At 48.8% G+C, this 24,743-nt stretch overlaps 1 protein-coding gene and 1 long non-coding RNA gene across 3 annotated transcripts in view, besides 11 other annotated features; one reads left to right on the forward strand and one right to left on the reverse strand.

The window, feature by feature from the left end:
* Positions 1 to 686: a transcriptional cis regulatory region, noted in NCBI's record as "candidate enhancer chr2.7265 targeted for multiplex CRISPR interference". NCBI's record gives its function as "positively regulates ASB1 gene expression with high confidence in K562 cells {active_cell/tissue: K562}" and the evidence as "EXISTENCE:mutant phenotype evidence [ECO:0000015][PMID:30612741]".
* Positions 1 to 1,489: a biological region, named in NCBI's record as "H3K27ac-H3K4me1 hESC enhancer GRCh37_chr2:239330367-239331026". NCBI's record gives its function as "regulatory_interactions: ASB1".
* On the reverse strand, positions 92 to 5,600 carry LOC124908002 (uncharacterized). The gene is made up of 2 exons (XR_007088163.1): positions 427 to 5,600; positions 92 to 322 (listed from the first exon to the last, which is right to left on the reverse strand). It is a non-coding gene; the product is annotated as an uncharacterized LOC124908002 (long non-coding RNA).
* Positions 432 to 1,091: an enhancer, noted in NCBI's record as "H3K27ac-H3K4me1 hESC enhancer chr2:239330367-239331026 (GRCh37/hg19 assembly coordinates)". NCBI's record gives its function as "activates a minimal SCP1, AML or CMV promoter by ChIP-STARR-seq in primed H9 embryonic stem cells {active_cell/tissue: H9 hESC(primed)}" and the evidence as "EXISTENCE:reporter gene assay evidence [ECO:0000049][PMID:30033119]".
* Positions 857 to 1,489: a transcriptional cis regulatory region, noted in NCBI's record as "candidate enhancer chr2.7266 targeted for multiplex CRISPR interference". NCBI's record gives its function as "positively regulates ASB1 gene expression with high confidence in K562 cells {active_cell/tissue: K562}" and the evidence as "EXISTENCE:mutant phenotype evidence [ECO:0000015][PMID:30612741]".
* Positions 4,214 to 4,749: an enhancer, noted in NCBI's record as "H3K27ac-H3K4me1 hESC enhancer chr2:239334149-239334684 (GRCh37/hg19 assembly coordinates)". NCBI's record gives its function as "activates a minimal SCP1, AML or CMV promoter by ChIP-STARR-seq in naive H9 embryonic stem cells {active_cell/tissue: H9 hESC(naive)}" and the evidence as "EXISTENCE:reporter gene assay evidence [ECO:0000049][PMID:30033119]".
* Positions 5,082 to 5,471: a silencer, noted in NCBI's record as "silent region_12497". NCBI's record gives its function as "represses an Ori minimal core promoter by ATAC-STARR-seq in GM12878 lymphoblastoid cells {active_cell/tissue: GM12878}" and the evidence as "EXISTENCE:reporter gene assay evidence [ECO:0000049][PMID:35858748]".
* Positions 5,492 to 6,011: a silencer, noted in NCBI's record as "silent region_12498". NCBI's record gives its function as "represses an Ori minimal core promoter by ATAC-STARR-seq in GM12878 lymphoblastoid cells {active_cell/tissue: GM12878}" and the evidence as "EXISTENCE:reporter gene assay evidence [ECO:0000049][PMID:35858748]".
* The window catches only part of ASB1 (ankyrin repeat and SOCS box containing 1), a 25,324-nt gene continuing 6,213 nt past the window's right edge, over positions 5,633 to 24,743 (forward strand). Inside the window, exons 1-4 of one of the 2 annotated variants that reach the window (NM_001040445.3) lie at positions 5,633 to 5,825; positions 12,260 to 12,401; positions 14,417 to 14,719; positions 23,048 to 23,433. In NM_001040445.3, the coding sequence (NP_001035535.1) occupies positions 5,777 to 5,825; positions 12,260 to 12,401; positions 14,417 to 14,719; positions 23,048 to 23,433 (880 nt within the window). In that variant the 5' untranslated portion in view covers positions 5,633 to 5,776. The remainder of the gene's footprint in view (positions 5,826 to 12,259; positions 12,402 to 14,416; positions 14,720 to 23,047; positions 23,434 to 24,743) is intronic. The other variant, NM_001330196.2, reaches the window with a different exon arrangement.
* Positions 6,262 to 6,381: an enhancer, noted in NCBI's record as "active region_17383". NCBI's record gives its function as "activates an Ori minimal core promoter by ATAC-STARR-seq in GM12878 lymphoblastoid cells {active_cell/tissue: GM12878}" and the evidence as "EXISTENCE:reporter gene assay evidence [ECO:0000049][PMID:35858748]".
* Positions 17,730 to 18,929: an enhancer, noted in NCBI's record as "P300/CBP strongly-dependent group 1 enhancer chr2:239347665-239348864 (GRCh37/hg19 assembly coordinates)". NCBI's record gives its function as "activates an origin of replication core promoter dependent on BRD2, BRD4, P300/CBP, MED14 and CDK7 cofactors, with strong dependence on P300/CBP, by STARR-seq in HCT116 cells {active_cell/tissue: HCT116}" and the evidence as "EXISTENCE:reporter gene assay evidence [ECO:0000049][PMID:35650434]".
* Positions 19,142 to 19,643: an enhancer, noted in NCBI's record as "H3K4me1 hESC enhancer chr2:239349077-239349578 (GRCh37/hg19 assembly coordinates)". NCBI's record gives its function as "activates a minimal SCP1, AML or CMV promoter by ChIP-STARR-seq in naive H9 embryonic stem cells {active_cell/tissue: H9 hESC(naive)}" and the evidence as "EXISTENCE:reporter gene assay evidence [ECO:0000049][PMID:30033119]".
* Positions 19,644 to 20,143: an enhancer, noted in NCBI's record as "H3K4me1 hESC enhancer chr2:239349579-239350078 (GRCh37/hg19 assembly coordinates)". NCBI's record gives its function as "activates a minimal SCP1, AML or CMV promoter by ChIP-STARR-seq in naive H9 embryonic stem cells {active_cell/tissue: H9 hESC(naive)}" and the evidence as "EXISTENCE:reporter gene assay evidence [ECO:0000049][PMID:30033119]".

A 24,743-nucleotide genomic window follows, 5' to 3' on the forward strand; every position in this document is an offset into this window, starting at 1 on the left:
ATTAAAACCATGATGTGTGTATGTTGGCCAGGACTCTTCTTAAGTGCTTCACCAAATGGGCCACCAAATAAAGCAATGAAGGCCGGCTTTGTTCACGTCGATTAACAATGCTATTTATTAATTGTAACACAGGGCATTCTCTTGGTACTTTATGGTTTCAGAAACAGCCTTGCGGTTGGCCCTTGCCCAAGGCAGCCTCAGTTGTGACCCCAGTGTGACCTCTGCAGGGAGACACCGCGAGGGCTCCTCCGTGGCACTGGATGAGGCGACAGGCTCAGCTCCACCGACACGCCCATTCAGGCGTGTGTTTTCTGCTGATAACCTAGGGGAAAATACATTCCAAACATGAAAAAGTTCCTGAAAAAGAAACTGTTAGCAAAGCAGTGCTTTTGAGTAACAGGGCTAAGGGGAGTGAAGTCTTCTTACCCTCGGTGTGGCTCCTGGAGACGCCTTCCCGCTCTCAGCCCGGGCTCTCCTGCTGGGTCCTCGCCGCAGGGAGCGACTGTAATTCCAGTTTCCTTACTGGATGTATGAGCCCTGAAGCTTCGGAAACAGTTCACCACAGACCCGTGTGAAGCCCAGGTGCAGGCAGGGCTGCGCTCCCCCGACCCCCACGTTCTAGGGGAGGGTCCTTGTTGCCTCTGCCAGCTTCTGGGGGCCCCAGGTGTTCCTCGGCTTGTGGCCACGTCGCTGCACTCTCCACCCCCGTCTTCACGCTGTCTTCTCTCTCTCCAATCCGCCTTTGCCTTTCTCTTGTAAAGGCAGCTGCCATTGGATTAGGGCCTGCCCTAAATCCAGGACGATCTCATCTTGAGATCCTTAATCGCATCTGCAAAGACCCTTTTTCCAAATAAGGTCCCATTCACGGTTCCGGAGCTGAGACCGTGGACATCTCTGTTTTGGAGGCTGCCATTCAATGCCCCCATGCTGCTCTATAGGTTCCTTGGGATGGTGTCCAGCTTTGCTCGCCCCTGAACCCTAGAACCCCGCTGCCCTGGTGTGGCAGTTTGTCAATTTCAGAGCATGAATGCCTTTATCCATTGGTTCAGGAACAAGGCCTGGGCCAGCTCCTGTGACAGAATCAAAATACCCGTCCCACCAGAAGCCACTTTCGTGGAACCTAACTGTCTGCCAGGAGAGATAGGCCAGCTCCTCCGGCAGCTGCAGTCAGGTGAGGAGATAAATGCTGCTGGGAGGACCTGGAGCCAAGGCCCCAGCTGCGGGGCGGAAAGCGGGGGTGCGGTGGGGGAGGCATCTGGTGAGGGGGAGAGGTCCCCAGGACAGGGGTATGGGAGGGAGGGAGCCTCGTGCGCAGACCCCAGGGAGAGAGTGCTGGCCCTGGAGGGTCAGGTTCTAGGCAGGGCGCTTGGGAGCTGGAGGAGGGGAGGGAGGTTGGGGCTCTTCTCGGGAAGGGCCTCAGATGCCCAGGCTCCTCCAAGAGCCTATAGATGGGCATTCGGGACCGTGAAGGAGTCTGTGAGCCCGAGTGACAGAGACCAACTGGTATGGCAGGAAAAGTTCACCTGGCGGTAAGGAGGGCATGGTGAGGCCAGCCCAAAGACTCCAGCACTGCCGCAGGACAGGCGGGGAGCGGAGCTGAGGGCTGGGATAGGGTCTCCACTCACCCTGCTTTGAAAACTGGCAGCTCTGTGTTCTGAGGCCCACTCAGTGCTGGGCAAGCTGGGCTGTTGGTCCCGCTGTGGCCGAAGAGTCTCTAAAAACCTCCTGTCTCTGCTGCCAGTCCCTGCTCTGGGACTGAGATTTCCTCACCTCTGACTCCTCCCGCTGTGGCAGTGACCAGCACATGGTAGTTGCCTTCCACAGGTGCTGCCTGGAGAGACGCAGGCCCTGGTAGAGGATGCAGGGGCTCACTGAGCGCTGTGGCCTCCTGACACTAGTGGAGTTCTCGGTCACACCAAGGGAGGCAGCACAGCACCTGTGAGGGGGGCTGAAAGAGGGCACCCCCTTGGCAGGACTCCCAGGGCCCACACTGTCCTCTGCAGTCCCCACAGCTGGGCTTCCCGGTCCTCCCTGGGACCTCCACTGCCAGGCTAAACCACATCCAGGCAGAGGCCGACCTGGCTGGAAGAGGGAGGCTTCGAGGGCTGCAAGGAACATCACGGCCTGGGCCCTGCCCAGCCCCACCAGCCCCAAGCTGAGGGCCTGCTGGGACACTGCGTCTACCCCTGAGCCCTGCTCTGTTCCAAGCTGGGCAGAGAAGGTGGGCTCAGTTTAGGACAGGGTGGGGTGGGGTGGGAGGCTGGAGGTGGGCGTGGCTCCACTCAGCAAAGCCATGCCATAGCGTTAGCAGCCATGGCACCGATGCCCACTGTGTCCTGAGGCTCTCTCTGCCCCAGGAAGCCTGTGGCACATTCTATGGGATTTTGTGTCTTTACAAAGCCTGCAAAGTGGGTATTATCAGCCCGATTTGACAGGGAGGCAGCTGGTGCTCAGAGGAGTCACCCTGTCCTGGTGACTCAGCTGGAAGGATGTGGATCTGCCTCCCTAGCTTGGGGCAGACACCCTGACTCTCTGCAGGTGGGCTCCAAGGCCTGAGACAGGGTCTGCGGGGCAGGGGCTGGTAAAGATGTTTCCAGGGCAAAGCCTGGAGGGTCAGCGGGCTGCCCTCATCTCGTGGCCTCACCTGGTAAACCTTCAGATCCCCTGCTTCCTTCAAAGCAGGAGATCCTTCAAAGGGGAAGAGAGGGCTGGGCCTCCTGGGAGGAGACACCCCAAACACAGGCCCACAGGGCCTAGGATCAGGAGAGATTCCCATTTCTGGTCCCTGCCTGGGTGACATCTGCTGCCCAATTCCCGGAGACAGCTGTGGGGGTTAAGCGACAGCAGCACCAGCACACCCAGGCCCAGCAGGATCCTCACCAGCCTGCAGCTGTGGAGCTCATGTTTCCAGCCCCCCATATACCTGCCATGCTTCCAGAGGGGCCCCCAGTTCCCTGCAACAGGAAGGATGAGGGATGGGGGCCCCTTCTCAGACCTCCTGAACCAGAAAGTCCATTGTTGGACATTTTTGTTATAAAATGATGGTAATGAGCACTACTGTAGCTGAATCTCCCCCACATCTGATTATTTCCCTAGAATGAATGCCTGGAAGAGGCATTTCTGATCAAGGATTATTCATTCTTATGCTTTAGCTAGACTGCCAAATTTTCCACCACAAAGACTGGGCTAGGCTCCACAGAGGGGTCACTGGGGACACTTTGGGGGAGGCCTGAGCCTCCAGGAGGCAACAGGAAGCGACGGGTGATTTTAGGGGTGGGAAAACGGGAGGGAGCCACTGGGACCTGGAGGGGCAAGACAGCCCACTGCACTGGTCCTGTTGCTGCTGTGCTGGGCTGGGATGGCACTGGTAGGCACTGGTAAATCCCTGTTGCTTGTAGGTGATGGGACCCAAGTTGCTTCATCTCTAGCGGTCACTGAGTGTCCCTGTGTTGGTGGGTCTTTTGGGCTCAGAGGACCTGGAAGAAGAGGGACTCTGGAGAGGTGAGGTCAGAGGGGGAGACAGGCTGTAGGGCTGGACAGTCTGGATGTGATCCCAACTCAGCCACCTGTGGGCTATGTGGTTTTGGGCATAGCACCAGGCCCCCAGATCTCAGGGTCCTGAGAAATGGGGGTGATGGTATTGGCAGAGTGGCCAGCAATTGAGTGTCCTTCCCCCTCCAGCACTGCTGGCTCTGTGGACACTGCCCTGCACCATGTGGGCATTTAGGAGGCACGGAGGTGGGCATGTGAGGCCACCTCCCCGCTACAGACCACGTGCGGCCTCAGGTTCTTCTAAGAGGCAGGATCCCAAGGGCAACACGTGGCAGGGAAGGTGGAGGTGCAGGTGCAGGAGGGCCACTCTGCTCAGGGACTCAATACCTTGATGCAAAGGCTACCGACACGCAGAACGCTCACTGTGAGCCCACCGGGACCAGGCAGGCAGAGCAGCGGAGGCCCCCGGAGACGTGGCTCTCACCAGGCTGCACTTTAGAATCACCTGGGTGCTCTGAACCACCCAACACCCAACCCGCACCCCTGACTGACTGCACCGGAACCTCTTTTAAAAAATTCTTTAAAACAATTGTGGTAAAATATATAGAACATAAAACTTAACCTGCTTTAAATGCGCAGTTCAGTACTGTTAATGCACAATTCACATTGCTGTGTGACCCGTCTCCAAAACTTTTTCATCTTCCTCAACTGAAGCTCTGTCCCCATGAAAAACTAACTCCTCATTCCCCACTCCCCCAGCCCTTGGCAACCCCCATTCCGCTCCACCATTTCACTGCTCCAGGGACCTCAAATAATTGGAATCACACAGTACTGTATTTGTCTTTTTGTGGCTGGCTTATCTCACTCAGCATAACGTCTTCAAGGTCATCCGTGTTGTGACGTGTGTCAGGATTCCCTTCCTTTCTAAGGCTGAGTACGAATCCATTGTATGGACGGACAGCATTTCCTTTCTAAGGCTGAGTACGATTCCATTGTATGGATGGACGGCATTTCGTTTATCCATTCATCCATCCAACAACACGTGAGGCGGCTTCAGGCTTCGGAGTTGCTGAAGCTCCGAGTTCGGGATGTGCAGCTGTGGTGGAGCCAGGGGCTGGGCACACCCCTGGCTCCTGGCCTGGCAGCGTCATCATCGGAGTCACCTGTCCCTCATGCCAGTGGTGCTCTCTGCTGTCATCAAGACCAAACACCACTGTAGGAAGTACCCCCACTCCCGCCTCCAACCCCCACAGGGCCTGCCAGGTCTGCCCCCAGTGGGCCCCCTGGTGCATCTGGGCCACCCAGGGCCAGCCTCAGCAGGGGCACTCGCGGGGCTGCGCCTGCGGCTTCCCTTACTCCAGTCTGGAATGTTGTACACACGGATGAGCCAGCAGCTCACGCCCACGACTGCTGGGGTCTCCGGACTCCCTCATCAGCCTCCTGCTGTGCTGTGTACAAATCCTCCTCCTGCATGAGGCCCCGCTGTCTAACTCAGCAGGGGAGAATGGGAGGAGCCAAGGGAATCCGTGCTTTAGGACCAACACCAATACTCATGGTGGGACGACGCTGCGATATTTGAAGTTGGGAGTGTGCAAGAAATGTTACTCGGTTGTTCACGAATGCATTCATTTATTCAATGAACTTCGCGTCAGCCACTGGCTGTCATCAGTTACCGACCTGATTGAGGGCTTCATGGAAGGGATTTGGAGGAGCATTCATCTAAAACCACAGCACGCTGCGACGCTCAGCCCTGCAGTGGGCCCTCACCAGTCCCCGCGCCTCCGAATCCACCCTCCCGGGGCTGCTCGTGGCTAGCGGGGGGCACCTGCGGGGACCAAGCCAGCCCGGCCGAGGCCCGGGTCCCGCCCGCCACGGCCCTCGGGGCCCCGCCCACATCTGGCAGAAGCCACGCCCCGTCCGTGTGGGTGGGGACGGCCCGCCGGACCGAAATTCCCAGACTGCTGCCTCAGGCAACGGGCTTTCCGACTCCTTGGCTTCTTATGTGAGGAAACCACAGCGCGGCCGGCATCCAGAGAGTCGGTTAGCCGCGAAGTTCCCGCCGGACGAAGGGACCAGCCAGCGCCCTGCTAGACAGCGAGGCCGGAAGCGGAGGCGTGGCCCCTGCGCGGCCCCGGAAACCAGTGAGGCCGGCGCGCGCCCGCCGGAAGCCGCGACCCCGACGCGCCCCCCATTGCCCTCGGCGCCGGAAGTGGTCGCGGGTCGTTCTGCTTCCTGCCCGAGGGGCGTGCGCGGGTCAGGGGCGGCCGCGGAGGCGGAAGCATCCATGGCGGAGGGCGGCAGCCCAGACGGGCGGGCAGGGCCGGGCTCCGCAGGTAACGTGCGCGCGGCCACTGGGCCGCGGGGCGTGTGGGGATGGCGAAGGGCTGGCTCCGGCGTCCCTGCCGAGGTCCTGCGTCCTCGTCCCGGGCTGGCCGGGTCCACGGGGCAGCCAGGGAGCCGCACCCTGCAGGCCGGGGGTGGGGTTCAGCGCGGCTCGCAGTGCTGGGCGACCCCACCACGGACGCGCTGCCCTCTCCTCGGCCTCGAGTGCAGTCCCCGCGCTAGATTTTCTTTCCGGTGGAACTTGCTCGTAACTTCCTTCCCGTTAGCCGATACAGATTTGATATGACCCAACCGCAAAAGTAGGACGTGGGCCACCTTCCAGCTCTGAGCGCACGGATCAGGAAAGCCAGCCAGAGGGTAGCCCTAGGGAGGGCAGGCACTTTTTCACCATTCTGCCGCCCACGGCGTGTCCGGTGGTACAGCGGGGGGCAGCCTTCCCACCCACCACAGGCACAGACCAGGGACAACGGGGACGCCGTCTCCAGCGAGCTCGTCAGTGACACAACATGTCCAGGGGCCTTTGGCCCACCAGCAAGGGAGGCAGATAGAAAGGCTCACACCCACCTTCCAAAATAACTGTCCTACTTAGGGTCTCCACCTTGCAGTGTCCCTACCATGCAGATGTGAAGGAAGCGGTCAGGACAGGTTCCCGTTTCCCGGTGGTGTGGTGGGAGTTCCTTCTTGCTGGATTTCTGAGCTTGCCATTCGCGCCAATAGTTTCGTGTGTTCTGGGCTTTCTTTACATGCCTATATTTGTCTTTGGAGGGGTTCCTCTCCTACTTAGTAATAAACCAATACATTTCTTAAACATCTTAAAAGATTGACTTGGAGACTGGTGCAGATAGGCTTTTCCATCCATCCCTCCCTCTGCACCTCCTTCCAATCATTTAACAGACTTGTATTGAAGACCTGCTGTTGGCTAGACCCAGCAGAGGATACTGCAGTGACCAGAAAAAGCCAGACAAAGCATCTACCATCCTGGGCTTTGGTTGGCGTTGACTTTGACTTCAGAGACAGCCAGGACCTTAGGGTCTAGGATGTCATCTCATGTGAGAGTGAGAGACGGAATGATGCGTGTTCCGTGGGAAAAAGAGGACCAACAGCTACTTCCCAGTATAAAGAGAGTTCCTGGGGAATAAACACTGGCTTTGTCGGCTGCACAGGTCTCCTTTTTTTTTGAGACGGAGTTTCGCTCTTGTTGCCCAGGGTGGAGTGCAGTGGCGTGATCTCGGCCCACTGCAGCCTCCGCCTCGGGGGTTCAAGCGATGCTCTGGCCTCAGCCTCCCTAGTAGCTGGGATTACAGGTGCTGGCATCATGCCCGGCTAATTTTTGTATTTTAGTAGAGACGGGGCTTCACCATATTGGCATATTGGCCAGGCTGATAGCGAACTCTAGACCTCAGGTGATCTGCCCGCCTCTGCCTCCCAAAGTGCTGGGATTACAGGCGGCAGCCACCACACTCAGCTGAGGGCTCCTTTTTATATCCTCATGCACTGCTGTTTTGTTATTCAGTGTGTTTCGGCCTCGGGTAGAGGGGCAACAGATTTTCAGTTGAAGCTTAAGTGCTATCCTGGGGCAGTTGTGTTGTCATTGGAGTAGTTGATCAGCGAAACACAAACTTGAAGTTGCTTTTGAATCTGGAGCTGGGGAAAGATTCTGAGTCTACTTTGAGCAGGGCCAGGAATGGATAGCACAGAGGCCAGCAGAGGGGGCCCAGAAGAGGGCTCAGCAAAAGTCCTGTGGCCGCCATTTACCTGTTGGTTATTGCCCTACACCTGAATCTTTCCCACTCCGACTTTGAACTTTTTCACTCTGTAGTAACCGCAACTGTGGAGTAATTACAGGGGAGGATAGTTACTGAAGGAAGACTGGGGTGGTGGCTTAAAGAGCTGTTCATGCCGGCTTGTTGATCTGCGGCGAGTCTGGTTGTGGGATCAGCATGAGCAACTCAGTGGACTGTCAAACCCTGCAGAGCCGGGACACTTACTCATCACCCCCGTTTCACCTGTGGTTGAGTCTCATGTACAGTAGTACTGAAAAGAGATTAATTTTAATATAAAAAACAATGTCAGCATCTGGAAAGAGCCCCCTTATGGAGGGGGTGCTTTATACCTGCCTGTCTGGTCTCACACTAGGACAGCATGGCAGAGCAGGGACTTGAATCCAAGTGGTCTGAGTTTTTGCTCTTTACTTACACACGAATCTGTGTAACTATTTTTACAAAACTCTTAAATCTTCAGGAGTTTATTTTGGGTTATGATGTGAGGTGAATAACTCAATTATTTCCTAATAAGTATCTGATTGTACAAATGCTGTTTGTTGAATACTCTTTTCCATTCTCGCTGATTGTGATGCCGGTTTATCACATTCAGGCATACCTTGGGGATAGTGTGTGTTCAGTTCCAGAACACTGTAATAAAGTGAATACTGCAGTAAACCAAGTCACATGAAATTTTTGGTTTCCCAGTGCATATATAAGTTATGTTTACATGATACTATGATCTATTAAGAGTGTAATAGGCCAGGCGCCAGTGGTTCATGGCTGTAATCCCAGCACTTTGGGAGGCCGAGGCAGGCAGATCACGAGGTCAGGAGATCAAGATCATCCTGGCTAACATGGTGAAACCCCTTCTCTACTAAAAATACACACACAAAAAATTAGCCAGGTGTGGTGGCGGGTACCTGTAGTCCCAGCTACTTGGGAGGCTGAGGCAGGAGAATGGCGTGAACCCGGGAGGCGGATCTTGCAGTGAGCCGAGATCACGCCACTGCACTCCAGCCTGGGCCACAGAGTGAGACTCCGTCTCAAAAAAAAAAAAAAACCAAGTACAATAATACCATTATGTCTAAAAATGTACACGTTTTAATTTAAAAATACTTTATTGCTGAAAAATGCTAACCATCATCTGAGCTCTCAGTGAGTCACAATCTTTTTGCTGGTGGAGGGTCTTGCTCCAGTATTGATGGCTCCTGACTTATCGGGGGCTATGGTAATTCTTAGATGACAGTGAAGTTTGCCATATCGTCTGGCTCTTCCTTTGATGAGATTTCTCTGTAGCATGAGACGTTGTTTGATGGCATTTTACCCACAGTAGCGCTTCTTTAAAAATTGGAATCAGTCCTCTCTAACCCTGCTGCTGCTTAATCAACTAAGTGTATGTGGCCTTCTAAATCCTTTGTTGTCATTATGACAGTGTCCACAGCATCTTCACCAGGAGTGGATTTCATCTCAAGAAACTGCTTTCTTTGCTCATCCATTCAAGTTTGATCATGCGATTGCAGCAGTTCAGTCACATCTTCAGGCTGTAATTCTAGTTCTCTTGTGATTTCCACTGCATCTGCAGTTACTTCCTCCATTTAAGTCTTGAGCCCCTCAAAGTCATCCATGTGGGTTGGAATTAACTTCTTTCAAACTCCTTTTGATATTTTGACCTCCCATGAATCACAAATGTTCTAAATGACATCTAGATTGGTGAATCCTTTCCAGAAGGCTTTCAGTTCATTTTTGCGCAGATCCATGAGAGGAACCACTACCTATGGCAGCGATAGCCTGACAAAATGTATTAAATGATGATAACACGTGAAAGTCAGAATGACTCCTTGATCCATTGGCTGCGGAATGGCTGTGTTCGCAGGCATGAAAACAGCATGAATCTTGTACATCTCCATGAGAGCTCTTCGGTGACTAGGCATATTGTCAGCGAGCAGTAGTATTTTGAAAGGAATCTTGTGAGCAGTAAGTCTCAACATTGGGCTGAAAATATTCACTAACCATGCTGTGAACAGATGTGCTGCCACCTGGGCTTTGTTGATCCATTTATAGTGCGCAGGCAGGAGTTTTGGAATGGTGAATGAACACTGACTTCCACTTAAAGTCACCAGCTGCGTTAGCCCCTAACGAGAGTCAGCTTGTCCTTTAAAGCTTTGACGCTAGGCATTGCCTTCTCCTCTCTAGCTATGAAAGTCCTAGATGGCATCTTTTTTTCCAATAGAAGGCTGTTTCTTCTACATTGAAAATCTGTTGTTTAGTATAGCCACCTTCATCAATTATCTTAGCCGTGTCTTCTGGATAACTTGCTGCAGCATCCACAGCAGCACTTGCTGCTTCACTTTGTACTTTTGTGTGATGGAGATGGCTTCTTTAAACCTCGTGAACCAACCTCTGCTACCTTCACTCTTTGCTTCTGCACCTTCCTCAGCTCTCTCAGGCTTCATAGAATTGGAGAGAGTTAGGGCCTTGCTCTGGATTAGGCTTTGGCCTAAGGGAATGTTGTGGCTGGTTTGATCGTATCTCCAGACTACTCAGATTTCCTCTATATCAGCAATAAGGCTGTTTTGCTTTCTTATCAATTGTGTGTTTACAGGGGTAGCACTTTTAATTTCCCTCAAGCTCTTTTTCCTTTGCATTCACAACTTGGCTGTTTGGCACAAGAGGCCTATCTTTGAACCTTCCCAGCTTTCCACATGCCTTTCTCATTAAAATTAATCATTTCCAGCTTTTAATTTAAAGTGAGAGATGTGTGACTGTTTCTTTAACTTGAACACTCAGAAGCTGTTGTAGGGTTATTAATTAGCCTAATTTCAATATTGTGTCTGGGGAACAGGGAGGCCTGAGGAGAGAGTGGGAGCAGCTGGTTGGTGGAGCAGTCAGAACACAGACCACGTTGATGGATTAAGTTCATTGTCTCATATGGCACAGTTTGTGGCACCCCAAAACAATTACAATAGTAACATCACAAATCATTCATCACCATAACAGATAAAATAATAATGAAAAAGTTTGAAATATTGCAAGAATTACCAGATTGTGACCCAGAAGACACAAAATGGACACATCCTGTTGGACAAATAGCTCCAAAAGACTTGCTCAGCACAGGGTTGCCACAAACCTTCAGTTTGTAAAAAAACACAATTACGTGTGAAGCTTGATAAAGTGAAATGCAGTGAAATGAAGGCTGCCGGTATTAGGTTGTTTATACTGAGATCTTTCTGGGCAGCTGATGGTTTGATTTTCTTTTTTATTCTGATGAGTGTTCTGTTACCTAGTAGGGTAGGTCTTTTCTCTGTACACTTACTAAAAACCAAAAAAGTTCTTCTCCCTTATATTTTAAAATAAACTTTAGAATATTTTTTGTGACATCTGATAACAAAATCCCAAAGAAATGGGTCACGCTTTATTTAAAATTCCTTGATTATTGAATCTTTTAATCCAAGTACTTGGTGTTTTTTCTGCTTATTCTGTTCTTTTGTGTTGTTTTTGAGTTTTATAGTCTTCATTAAATGGGCTGGATTTATATTTATGTACATGTGTTTTTAACCTTCGTTTTTATTGAGGTGGGACTTCTCTATGGTCAAGTGCACCTGTCTGAGGAGTTTCTTAGGCAGGCCTCCCTGTGGCCGTTGCCCAGGGCAGCGTGGGAGGGAGTCACCCGTGTAGCAGATAGCAGCATTTGCTCAGCCGTTGGATTTTGCCGTATGTCTTTTTTGTAGTGAAGGAGATGACTATGTTCTCCTTCATAGTTGCCCAGTATTAAGATATTCCCAAATACCAGTACTAAGATATTTGCTAGATTCTTTGATACAATATTGATTCAATCTGCTGATATTTTCTTTTTTCTTTTTCTTTTTTTTTTTGAGACCGAGTCTCACTCAGTCGCCAGGCTCTGGAGTGCAGTGGCGCGATCTTGGCTTACTGCAACATCTGCCTCTGGGTCCAAGCAATTCTCCTGCCTCAGCCTCCTGAGTAGCTGGGACTACAGGTGCGCGGCACCACGCCCAGCTAATTTTTTGTATTTTCAGTAGAGATGGGGTTTCACCATGTTGGCCAGGATGGTTTTGATCTCTTGACCTCGTGATCTGCCCGCCTCGGCCTCTCAAAGTTCTGGGATTACAGGCGTGAGCCACCTCACCTGGCTCAATCTGCTAATTTTTTCTTTAGGATCTTGCATCCGTATTCTTCAGGTTTGCCTTATCAGTGGATTCTTTGACACAATATTGATTCAATCTGCTGATATTTTCTTTAGGATCTTGTTTCTTTATTCTTCAGTAGGTTTGGCTTATAGTTCCTGGGCCCCATCAACTTTTAAAAAATTATTCTTGTCAGCGTTGGTGTCAGGAGTGTGCTAATTTAATAAGGGAAGGTTTCTACTATTTTCTGTGATTTATTTCTTTTGTTTTTACAGACAGGGTATTGCTGTGTTGCCCAGGCTGATCTTGAACTCCTGGCCTCAAGTGATCCTGCCTCAGCCTCCTGAGTAGCTGGGATTACAGGCGTGCCACCATGCCCAGCTTGTGATTTATTTCTTGAGCATTTGAAGGTGCCCCGTAGCTGGGAGAGGGAAGGCTCGCTGCAGATGGCACCCCCTTTTGGTTAGTCTTGGCAGGGCCTCCATGAGCTAACAGGAGCCCCTCTCTTCAGTGCAGGTCGTAATCTGAAGGAGTGGCTGAGGGAGCAATTTTGTGATCATCCGCTGGAGCACTGTGAGGACACGAGGCTCCATGATGCAGCTTACGTCGGGGACCTCCAGACCCTCAGGAGCCTATTGCAAGAGGAGAGCTACCGGAGGTGAGCGGCGCTGCCCAGGGCTGGTCCGGGTACTAGGGCCCTGAAGGTCTGTGTGAAGCTGAGCCCCACAGTCGCTGTGCAGATGAAGACCTTGATGTTGGGAGGAATGTGTTCCAGTTTTAGAGGACGGGGATAAAGGAGACTGAGGCAGCATGGTCAGAGTTGTAGGAGACAGCCAGACAGTGTGGGCAGGGAGACCTGAGTTCAGGTCCTGCTCTGCCATTAACCTTAGTGTTTTCTGGCAACTTCTGGCCTTCTGTGGGCCTCAGCCTCCTGATGTCACTCCTGAAGGTACCACTGTTTCCCTCTTCAGTGGCGGCCCTGCCCCATCTTGGGTTTCTCGTGGCTCTTAATTGCAGGCGCTTCTGTACATTCACCCTGCTTCACCACCTTCCCTAGTGCCCTTTCCTCTAGCTTCTCAGGCCCTCAGTCATCTGCCCCCGGGACCTGGGCCTCAGCCTTAGGCCCTTTTACCTCATCAGCCTTCTCCTTTCTGTTCCCCTCATCAGTGGTCCCCTGTCCTGGCCTTGCCAAACTCTGCCTGTCCCCACAAAATGGCTCCAGCCCTTCCTTCGCAGCAAGTGATGCTTGCCCTTCCCTCTCCCTGCTCAGGACACCTGGGGGAGCAGAGTCTGCTTGCTCTCTGGACTGTTCTCTGATTGTTCTGCGGGTCTAAGGTTGCAGTCCCAGCTAGAGCTTAAACTCAGTAGCAGCCAGGAACTATCCATGCTGCTGTTGTGTTTCCGCGTTCCCTTCAGGACCCAAATGCCAGTGCGGTGGTAGAAGCAATGCCTACATGTTGGCGCCGAAACTAATGCCACAACTTTTCTTTGCATAGTTCCCAAGAAAAGGATTTCTAACAGTACAGGAATGTATTTCTTCATTTCCTTCTAGTGTCTTAGCAGTATTTCATCAAAACAGATATCAGTATTTAAAAGAAAAATACCAGAAAGGACTGTCATAGGAAGACAGATGGATTACGCACAGATATTTAAAGTGGGTGACTCAAGCCCAAAGAAAACCTTAATTCAACTTGCAGATGTAACAGAATGAAATAGAGTTCGGTGAGGTCTCAGCCCAAGTCTTTCTATATTGCATTTCCCAGCACTGTTTCTCCTCCTTCTTTTACTCAGGCTCAGGGCATCTCTGGTTCTTTACATTTTCCCATTGCTATTTGCTTCTTTGGTGATGAGTTCCTGGAGTGTTCCTCGACTTTCCTGGGCAGTCAGAGCCTAGGCGCAGCTGGCGGAGGAGCCCCGAGGGCTGGCTTGGGAGCTGCTTCCCCTGCATGTTCCTGGGCCCTGGTTTGGTGCTCTGGGCCTCTGAGCTTTGTTCTCAGTGACACTGGGAGCTCGCTGTGAACCCGTTGCGGTCGCTGCCTTGCTGGGTCGGTGGGTGGGGCAGGCAGTTGCAGTCTGATTGTGACATCTGCCGAGAGCTGAGTCTGGACAGGTTCCTCTGCCGCTCTTGGCCAGGGGTGTAGCCCCCGTGCCACCTTAGTGATTCCTTCAGGCCATCATTTGTGCAGTGTTAGAGGTTGGGGGCCTACATAGTCACCTAGTCCTGGTGAGGATGCTGAGGCCTAGAGAGGCCCAGCCTCAAGCCTTCACAGATGGTAACTGGGGAAGAGCAGCCTAGGGGCTCTTACCCAGACTCCCGGGCGAGTGCGCTGTTCATTTGGCACTGCCTCCCAGGCAGACCCTTCCCACCTTTGTAGAGGAAGGCACTTCAGATGGCAGTCAGGAAATCTAAGAACTAGAGATCTTAGTTTTGGTGCTGATCATTCTGCAGGTGCCTTGAGTTTCCTGTCTCTGGAATGGGGCTCGTAATGCCTGCCCTGCCATGCCCCGGTCCCGCAGGGGAAAGGTGTGAGAGCATTTCAGAAGGCAGAGCCCAGGTGGAGGCGTTATTAACCAGAGGGGGACCGTGTCCATGCTGCCAGGGTGAGGGGGGCAGTGCAGCCCGTCCCTGTCCTGCGGCTGCCTCTCATGAGCCCCCTTGTGTTCCTCCTGCAGCCGCATCAACGAGAAGTCTGTCTGGTGCTGTGGCTGGCTCCCCTGCACACCGTTGCGAATCGCGGCCACTGCAGGCCATGGGAGCTGTGTGGACTTCCTCATCCGGAAGGGGGCCGAGGTGGATCTGGTGGACGTAAAAGGACAGACGGCCCTGTATGTGGCTGTGGTGAACGGGCACCTAGAGAGTACCCAGATCCTTCTCGAAGCTGGCGCGGACCCCAACGGAAGCCGGCACCATCGCAGCACCCCTGTCTACCACGCCTCTCGCGTGGGCCGGGCAGACATCCTGAAGGCCCTCATCAGGCCAGTACTGTGGAGCTCGCCTGGCTCCTGCAGCCACTTTATTTTTCTTCTCTGTATTTTGCAGTTTTTCTGTCTTTAGAATTCGGCTCTTTAGATGACTCGCCTGTTTTGCTGGCCTTTGTAAAGAGCTGCCTCTTGGCTTTATCAGGTCTCTTTGTTTTTTGGCTTACCTGTTCCTTTATATTTACTTTTATCTTTTTCTAATTTTTAGTTTTTTTTCCCTTTTGAGTTGACTGCTTATTCATTTTTTCTTAAGAATGCAAACTTGCAACGTTAATTTACCTTTTACTATAGTTTTGACCATCCTCTCTAGGCTTTTTCCTTATTATTTAAATAGCTCTAATTGAAGTTGATTTCCTCTTTGTTCTTAGAGTTATGGAAGATAAGGTTTTAATAATGCTTTTTGTTGTATTATGCTCAGATAATATGGACCAGATAGTTTTCATTTTGGGGATTCTTTGACGTAAAAAAATTATTATTATTATTATTTTTGTTTAGTTTTTGAGGTGGGGTCTTACTTTGTTGCCCAGGCTTGAGTGCTGTGGCGTGATCATAGCTCACTGCAGCCTCAAACTCCTGGGCTCAAGTGACCCTCCTGCCTTAGCCTCCTTAGTAGCTGACACTACAGGTGTGCACCACAATGCTGGCTTCTTCTTATTTTTTAATGTCAGACTACATTGTTGTGAATGCTTGAAACAAGTACATGACCATGGGTGTTTTGTTTACATATTATACTTTGTTAGGTTAGCACTCTCTCTCTCTTTTTTTTTTTTACATTTTTGTCATTGGATCTGCCAGAAATTTAAAGAATTCTGTTAGTCTCTGATCACATTTTTGATTTTGCCATTTTTTCCCCTTGTACTTTGAATAGGTTTTGCTTTGAAAATTTTGATGCTAATTGAACTCATAAAAGTTCCTGCTTACATATTATGCTCTATCAAAACAAGAGTACTATTAGTTTTATTTAAGGCCCATTTACATGGCATTATGTAATATTTAGTTTTAACCCTAGGGAGTTTCAGTAGTTCTGTTTGTGCTTGTGTAGAACCATTTGTCTAGGAGTTTTTGCTTTTTAATACAGTGAACATTATTGCTATAGCTGATGTTGGGGTCTGTTTCTGTTATCTTTCTGTTTTGTAACTGTTTCCATTTGATATCTTTTCTTCTTATATGTTGTTTTTTTCTTTCCTCTTCCATTATACTAGGTTTACAGTCTTATTTTATTTTATTTTTTTTGAGACAGAGTCTTGCAGTGTTGCCCAGGCTGGAGTGCAGTGGCGCGATCTTGGCTCACTGCAACCTCCGCCTCCTGGGTTCAAGCAGTTCTCCTTCCTTAGCCTCCTGAGTAGCTGGGACTACAGGTGCCCACCACCATGGCCAGCTAATTTTTGTATTTTTGGTAGAGATGGGGTTTCACCATGTCAGCCAGGATGGTCTCGATCTTCTGACCTCGTGATCCGCCCGCCTCGGCCTCCCAAAGTGCTGGTATTACAGGCGTGAGCCACAGTGCCTGGCCTACAGTCTTATTTTAATCATACTAACGGTTGCCTTTTTTTTTTTCTTTTTCAACCAGATTGTTTTTATTTTTCATGTTTCTAGTGACTTCTTTCCAGCAAAGATGCTTTTTTCCCTCTTTTACTCTGGAGACCAAATTGCTCTGCATTTGGACAGGGTGCAGTTTAGGTAGCTGGTTCTCAGGGAAATTTTTCTGTATTGAAAAGGATTAGGTAAGGGTTCTGTTGTTATAGGCTGCAGCCAGGGTGGCTCTGATGAGCAGGGACCTGGGATTCCCTTTACCCAGCACAGAATATGGTCTTTAAATTAGGTACTGAGAATATGTTTTTCCTGTTGAAGGGTTTTATAAATTAAATAGCTACACAATTGGCTTTTGGGAGGCTAAAGAAATGAGAGTGGTAAGGTTGTTATGTTAGAGGGTGATAAAGCTGCAAGGCTTTTTCCCTCTTTTTAAGGATTTCTAACCTGATTATCTAAGCTACTTCAGTCCCTTGTCTTTGCACCTTGGAGAATGTAAGCTATTAATTTGGAAATGCTTTTGAGTAGGATCAATCAGTGAAATTCCATGTTGGTTCCAGAAAGCCCTTTGGGTATTTCAGTCAATTCATGATGCACAACTGCTTTGAGTTACCTGCAGGCTGCCCGAGAAGTACATATACAGATGCCCTTCATTTTTTTTTTTTTTTTTTGAGACGGAGTCTCACCCTGTCGTCCAGGCTGGAGTGCAGTGGCGCTATCTCGGTTCACTGCAATCTCCGCCTCCAGGGTTCACACCATTCTCCTGCCTCAGCCTCCCAAGTAGCTGGGACTACAGGCACCCACCACCATGCCCGGCTATTTTTTTTGTATTTTTAGTTGAGACAGGGTTTCACCATGTTAGCCAGGATGGTCTTGATCTCCTGACCTTGTGATCCGCCCGCCTCGGCCTCCCAAAGTGCTGGGATTACGGGCGTGAGCCACCGCGCCCGGCCACAGATGCCCTTCTTGCGAAAACGTTACTAAGACATCTTACTCCCTCACTGGAGCACGGGACATTACTTTCACAAGGTGGTACCAAGAACATATATTATTCTATTAAAAAGTTTTCTATATTCTAAATTCTAAGATAATTGACACTTGGATAGTAGAGTGATACGGTTAAGTTACTGAACAGTGATGTTTTCTGGAAATAACTTAGCTTCTGCCTTCCCTGTGCCAGTTCCCCCTTAGGGCTCTCATCTTTCACTGTTGCAATTTTCTGTCCCTCTGTAAGTCACCTCCATTTTGTTATTTGTAAATTCACTTGATATGTATTGCCCATATTTTAGAAAAAAGGTACAGAGTGGTATTTCTGTATGTGCAAAAGTTATATTGATTTATTGAGTTCTCCCAGTGCTTCCTTGCCAGTGATATTAAAAGCAATAGAGGAATTTGGAAAATATTCAGGATTAAAATTAACTGGATCTCATCCAGTATATTTTTATGAGTGGATGAAGGGCTATCTTTCCCACAGCTCAGCTAATACCAGATTGTCATATTGCCCAAAATTACAAACGTTTTGGAAGATTTTCCCTAAGAATAAGCAGAAAAAAACCATCACTGCTTGAGATCTAGTTTTCCTTTGCTTAATTGGTTGGGTGTATGAAATGAAATATCAATTTCTTGTTGGCTCTGTGTGTTTTAGAATACTTCCCCTGTCACTCCTAGAATGTCTTTGAGAGTGGGTGGTGTTTGTGTTTGTAGTGGAAGCTTCATTGTCATGTGAGTGTGTTGGTTGGAGAGTGGGTGGTGTTTGTGTTTGTAGTGGAAGCCTCGTTGTCATGTGAGCGTGTTGGTCCGTGTGCTGGTCCTCAGGCCTGTGCTTCCTGAAAGCAGCAGTTTTGGTTCCAGGGGAGCGTTTCTCTGGACACTCAGGATGGTGCTGAGGAGACGGTTAGAAAGCGTGGCTGCTGGCCTTACCTGTTGGCGAGCGCTGTGATTGCGGCATGGAAGGTGACGCAGTTCTGTCCTCCCTGCACCCTGCGTGTTCTGGTCCCGTCATCGCTGCTCCCCACATATTGTCCTTTCCTATTACAAATGAAATACTTTGGTGGTGACGAATCTTGTGAGACATTGTGGGACTGTGTGGGCTGATGAAAGCTCAAGAAAACAGGTGCCAACTCTAATGTTGACTCAGATTAGAGTCATGTCATGCGTTTTGGGCAGGAATCGCAAAGGGAGGTTGTGTTCGCATTCCCCTCTTATCAGGCTGCGTGTGATCGCAGTGTGTCCATTACTGCCGATACTCACTTCCGTTATTTGATTAAGGTGGTGCCTGCCATGTTTCGCTCCCGTAAAGCTATTCCTTTTCTCTCTGTAAGTAGTATTTTGAGGAGAGGTGCTTTACAACCATGTATATGTCCTGTTCATCTCAGATTTTTAATTTGTTCATTTATTAATTTGTTAGTATAGACTCATGGTTTCTGATATTATCCAATGAGTTATAATTCATTATTATTGTTACTTATTTTGATATTCGTATTGTCTCAGTTTGTCTACTGAGAGCTGCTTCAAGCCATCTCTGTCCTTTTAACATGACCTTAGTCATTCTGTGAGCAGCTCCTCACTTTCTCCTGTAACAAGATATTCTCGGCTCATCTTGCACTTTGACTGCCTCAGTCCTGGAATAAGTCATTTCTCCTAGGAGTCCTGGTTTCTTTTAGTGAAGAATGGTGTGCAGAACCCTATATTTGGACACTAGGAGTGCCTATTGCTTTTGGGGTATCACTGTTTTCATGCCCTCCTATTGGACCAAGCTAAGGTTGTATGTACATTCCACATTTCTGTTTATATTTCTTTATATACATGGACAGGAGTTCACCTGGCTACCTTTAATCCAGGCTCATGCCACAAGGTTCATCCTAGTTTTCTGCCTTTCGCGTTTACTATTCTCCTTTCACCAGTGAGAAACCCAGTTCCCCTGCCCTCCACATACTGCCTGTGTTGTCCTGTTGTCCCCTGTGTGGCACCAGCCAGCCCCCCTTTTGCTGCCTCTTCCCATACATGGCTCCTGACCTGTTTGGGCTCTCACCTCTCATGCCAGGTGGCCTTCTCACCTTGTCAGGACTCTGACTCTGAGCCAGGGCCCCCTCATTGACTGATCCCTGTTCAGAGTGAAAATGATTGGTAGTTTGCACTTGCCCTGGAAGAACCCTAAACGTCTGATAGAGAGCCGTATATTTGGTCATCTCTGAGTACAGTGACAAGGACAAGTAAAGTAAATGGAGTCATTTAGAGATTGGCTTTGGTGGAGAATGAGGCTTCTAAGTCAGGTGGCTCCTACACCTGCCCTATGTGAGATTTGTTTCCTCCCATCGGGCTGTCACTGGGGATTAGGAGGGGCGGCCTAGGGGTTACCTCACTCATGGCTGTGTACATGCCCACGTGGAGAGCTGTGTGACGCTGCCCTGCCGACAAGCTGTGCGTCCTGGCCTGGGGCCTTCCAGGTGAACGTGACGCTGGGAGTGGTCTGTGCTAATCATGGGAGTCTGGATGTTTAGTGTGCCTGAAAAGAAAGATGTCCTAGTGGGCAGCGCATCATGGCGCCAGCTGGATACCTGATTGAGTTCATGCGTTTCTTTTTGCTTTCAATTTTTTTTTTTTTTTTTGAGATGGAGTCTCGCTCTGTTGCCCAGGCTAGAGAAGTGGCATGATCTCAGCTTACTGCAACCTCTGCCCCCTGGGTTCAAGCAATTCTCCTGCTTCAGTCTCCTGAGTAGCTGAGATTACAGGTGCCCGCCACCACACTTAGTTAATTTTTGTATTTTTAGTAGAGACGGGGTTTTGCCACGTTGGTCAGGCTGGTCTCGAACTCCTGGCCTCAAGTGATCTGCCTGCCTTGGCCTCCTGAAGCGCTGGGATTACAGGCATGAGCCACCGCGCTTGGCCAAGGTATAAATTTTTGGAAATCTAGCTTGTATCCTTGTCTCCTTGATCCTGTTCTCTCCCTCCCCAGTAGATAACCATTTAAAAAGTTCCATGGTTTACCATAAGCACACTGCAACCTCCTCCCCCACAGAAACAGTAGTGGACTGTACACTTTCACTGTGCTGCTTTCCCTCCCTCTTCCTGTGCTCGGAGGCTGCTCCGGAGCAGTGTACAGCGACCCCCTCACTCCTTTTCAGAGCTGCACAGCGTGGCGTTGTGCAGATGAGCTGCAGTTCATTCAGCCAGTCCCGTTAGTGGACACGTGGGTGGTTTACTGTCTCCAGCTGTTAGGGATGGTGCTTTAATGAATTGCCTTGTGCATACATCTTTCCATAGTTTTGCAGATGTATTTTGGAAATAGATCCCGAGCAGTGTGATTGATGGGTCAAAGGGTAAATGCATATGTAATTTTGCTAGCGATTGACAGATTGCCCACTCCACAGGGGGAAAGTTCACTTTTCATTGCTCAAACAATGAATGAGATTTCCTGTTTCCTAAAAGCCTGGTCAATAAATTTTTGGATTTTTCCCAATCTGATAGGTGAGAAGTGATATCTCAGAATAGTTTTAATTTGCATTTCTGTTCCGAGTGAGGCTGAGTGTGTTTTCATGTGGCTAAGAGCCATTTGTAGCTGTCCATCTCTCTAAATTTTTTTTTTTTTTTTTTGAGATGAAGTCTCGCTCTGTTGCCCAGGCTGGAGTGCAGTACCATCTCAGCTCACTGCAACCTCCGCCTCCCGGGTTGAAGCAATTCTGCCTCAGCCTCCCGAGTAGCTGGGATGACAGGCACACCCACACCCGGCTAATTTTTGTGTTTTTAGTAGAGATGGGGTTTCGTCATGTTGGCCAGGCTGGTCTTGAACTCCTGACCTCAGATGATCCACCTGCCTTGGCCTCCTAAAGTGCTGGGATTACAGGCATGAGCCACCACGCCCCGCCCCATCTCTCTAATTTTTCTGTAGGGCTATTGATCTTTTTCTTCTAGAAGCTCTTTATACGTTAAGGGTATTAACCCTTTGTAACCTTTTCCCCCAATTTTTCATTGCTTGTTTTACTTTTACTTACGTTGTTTTGTCATGCTTATGCTATGCAAGAGTTTTTCTTTTAAAAATTTTCATGTTAAAAACATTTTATTTGTGGATTTTGTGTCAGAATTAGGCAAATTTTACTTAGAGGTTTTTTTCTAGTTTTTGCATGGTTTCATATTTTACGTTTTAAGTTATGGTCAGTTTGGAATTTATTCCAGTATATGCTATGGTGAATGGATATACTTTTACCTTTTTCCATATGGATGTCCAGTTACCCCAAAAAACACTTAGTAAAACATCTACACCCTCCCTTGTTTGAGATACTGCCTTTATCATATATGAAATTTCTATGTGCAATTTGGCCCATTTCAAGATTTTCTGTAAAGTTCCATCATTCTGTCAATTTTGTTCACATACCAGTGCCACAGTTTTATTTTTAGCCTTTATAATAAACTTCACTTATGGTGTGGCTACCTCCCACCACCCCCTTCTTGCTTGTCTTTTTCATATTCTTTCATCTTACAGATGAACTTTATATATCAACTAATGTAGCTCCGGGGATGCTATTTTTATTTATTTATGTTTGTAATCAACTTATTTAGTTCTAGTAATGACATTTTCATTTATAAAATAAATTTAGGGAGAATTATCTTCTTGATGTTGAGTCTTAATCAGTACTGTGCTATGTCTTTCCATTCTCTTAGGTCTACTTTTGTTGACTTTAAGTAGTAGTTTATCATTTTTGTTATGCAAATTTTGGACATTTATTATTAAGTTTATGCTTAGATATGTCATAGTAAAATTTATTTTGCTATCATAAATGGAATTTTCCCTTCTACTTTTTATATGAAGCCTATTGGTTTGACAACCTGCTACTTCAATAAGTTCTCTCATTGCTTGTTAGTTGTTTTCCCATATTATTTAGGGCTTTTCAGACACATTGTATCCTCTGAAAATAGGAAATTTTTACCTCTTATTTTCCAACTTTATGCATTTAATTTCTTCCTCTTGCCTGATTGCACAGGGTACCTTTAACACCAGTGTTCAACAGGAGGCTGGAAAGCAGGAGTCTGTCTTGCTCCAGCTTTGGCCGGAGTGCTTCTAGCCTTTCCCTGTTAAATGAGATGCTGACTTCTGGCCTGAGGGAGTATGTTTTATCATGTTAAAGAAAAGCCATCACTTTCTGTTTTCTTGAGCATTTTTAAACATGCATAGCTCTTGAGTTTTGTCATATGCCCACCTTTTTTTTTTTTTCTGCATCTGCAGAGATAATCAGAGGATTTCCCCCTCAGCCTCATTTTACAATGGATTATATTAATAGAGTTTCTAATATTGGAGTTACCTGTGCATTCTTGGGATAACTCCCATGAGGTCATGGTATATTGCTTTCTTAATATACTTAAGGATTCTCTTTGGCTAAAATTTTATTGAAGATTTAAAAGTTGGTATTCCTAAATGAAATTAGCTGGTAGTTTTTCTTATGCTTTGGCCCTTGTTGGGCTTTGGGGTTATTGTGCCAGTTTCATCAGATGAATTTGTAAGTTTCTCTTCTTTTTCTTTGCTCTGAAATAGTTTAAATAGCCTTGGGATTATTGGACCTTTAATGGTTTGAAGGACTTCCCTTAGGAATTTTTCTGTGTGCGGGGATTCCAAGTTCTTTCCTGCTACCTTATCTTGCTGAACGTAGTGAAGCTATCTGATCTGTGGAGTCTCCTACAGCGCCTGGTGTCACTGAATCAAGGCCTTCTGCTCAGGGTGGCTGTGGGATTTGTTGGATCTGTGGGATCTGTGGGCTGTGGTCAGTCCCCTGCACAGTCTGACTTTCCCTTTCTTCCCTGCAGGTACGGGGCTGATGTTGACGTCAACCACCACCTGACTCCTGATGTCCAGCCTCGATTCTCCCGGCGGCTCACCTCCTTGGTGGTCTGCCCCTTGTACATCAGCGCAGCCTACCACAACCTCCAGTGCTTCCGGCTGCTCCTCCTGGCTGGCGCGAACCCTGACTTCAACTGCAATGGTCCTGTCAACACACAGGGATTCTACAGGGGCTCCCCTGGGTGCGTCATGGATGCTGTTCTGCGCCACGGCTGTGAGGCAGCCTTCGTGAGCCTGCTGGTAGAATTTGGAGCCAACCTGAATCTAGTGAAGTGGGAATCGCTGGGCCCAGAGTCGAGAGGAAGAAGAAAAGTGGACCCTGAGGCCTTGCAGGTCTTTAAAGAGGCCAGAAGTAAGTGGCTTGAGTTCAGCTCTGACTTGTGGGCTGGGTTGATTGAATGAATCAAGATGTAGCAATAAACAAAAAACAAAAACCTCCACCTGAGCACTTGGCCAAAATCTTCAGTTAGAACTCGCAGTTTTCCAGATGGTTGTTCAGATTGATCTTCTCTTTTTAAATTCCTGAATACCAAGAACTGATATCAGGGAATCTCTAAAAGTACATGTGTGTTGTCAGAACTCCTAGAATTATGCTCGCGCTCTCTTTTTTTTTTTTTTTTTTTTGAGGCAGGGTCTGGTTCTGTCACCCAGACTGGAGTACAGTGGTGCAGTCATGGCTCCCTGTAGCCATGACCTCCTGGGCTCATGCAATCCTCCCACCTCAGCCTCCCAAGTAGCTGGGACTGTAGGTGCACACCATGCCCAGCTAATTTTTGGGTTTTTTGTAGAGATGAGGTTTTGCTGTGTTGCCCAGGCTTGTGTTGAACTCCTGGGCTCAAGTGATCTGCCCGCCTCAGCCTCCCAAAGTGCTGGGATTACAGGCACGAGCCACTGCTTTGGCCTAGAGTTATATTCTCTTTATCCTTTTGCTCTGACCTGTGGCCCCAGATTCTTATAGACAGTGACTTCTTTTATGCCTGGTTTTTAAATGAGCCCTTAAAACAAATTGCAAGCGGGGCTTTCTAGGGTTCCTTACTCTCCTTTCTTCAATTCCACTCAAGTATCGCTACTTTGGATTGTGTGATAAGCCTAAATTTTGTAACAATAAAGTTCCTGGTCTGCTTATTTATGAAGAAAGATTTTGTTAACGATTAATGCATCAATAGCACCAGAGATTGGAATTGATCCATAGCTTGGTCTTGTTATCCGAGGCTCTCTGGGATTCAGACATTGACCTCATGTGTTGTCTTTAACCTCCTGCCCACATGTCACCCCCTCCCACCGCTCCCAGTCTGGGTCTTGAGACATCCAAGTTGATAACCTCTTCCTTCTCCCTGCCTCTCAAAGGACTTTAAATTCATTGTGTTTTTGTTACTGGATTTCCCTAAACCAGTTCATTAAAGCATGCTCCTGTGTAGCCTTCCCACAAATAGTTAATGAATGGTCAGCTGGGAGCTGTACTGATAGAAGCAGCAGCTTGCGTTCAGGACTGTTCCACTCCTCAGCTTCCTCGCTAATCGAGACAGAACTTGGCTGCGCTCTTTTCATTGGGGGCAAAGTCGTCAGCCTGTGCCCCTCAAGCAGTGCTCAGCCTGTGTTCCCCAGGCACTGGTGGAGCTTCAGGGATTGACTAAGGGAAGGGGCTGACAGAGGCTGGGCGTC

Source organism: Homo sapiens, chromosome 2 (assembly GCF_000001405.40).
Source record: "Homo sapiens chromosome 2, GRCh38.p14 Primary Assembly".
Lineage (NCBI taxonomy): Eukaryota > Metazoa > Chordata > Mammalia > Primates > Hominidae > Homo > Homo sapiens.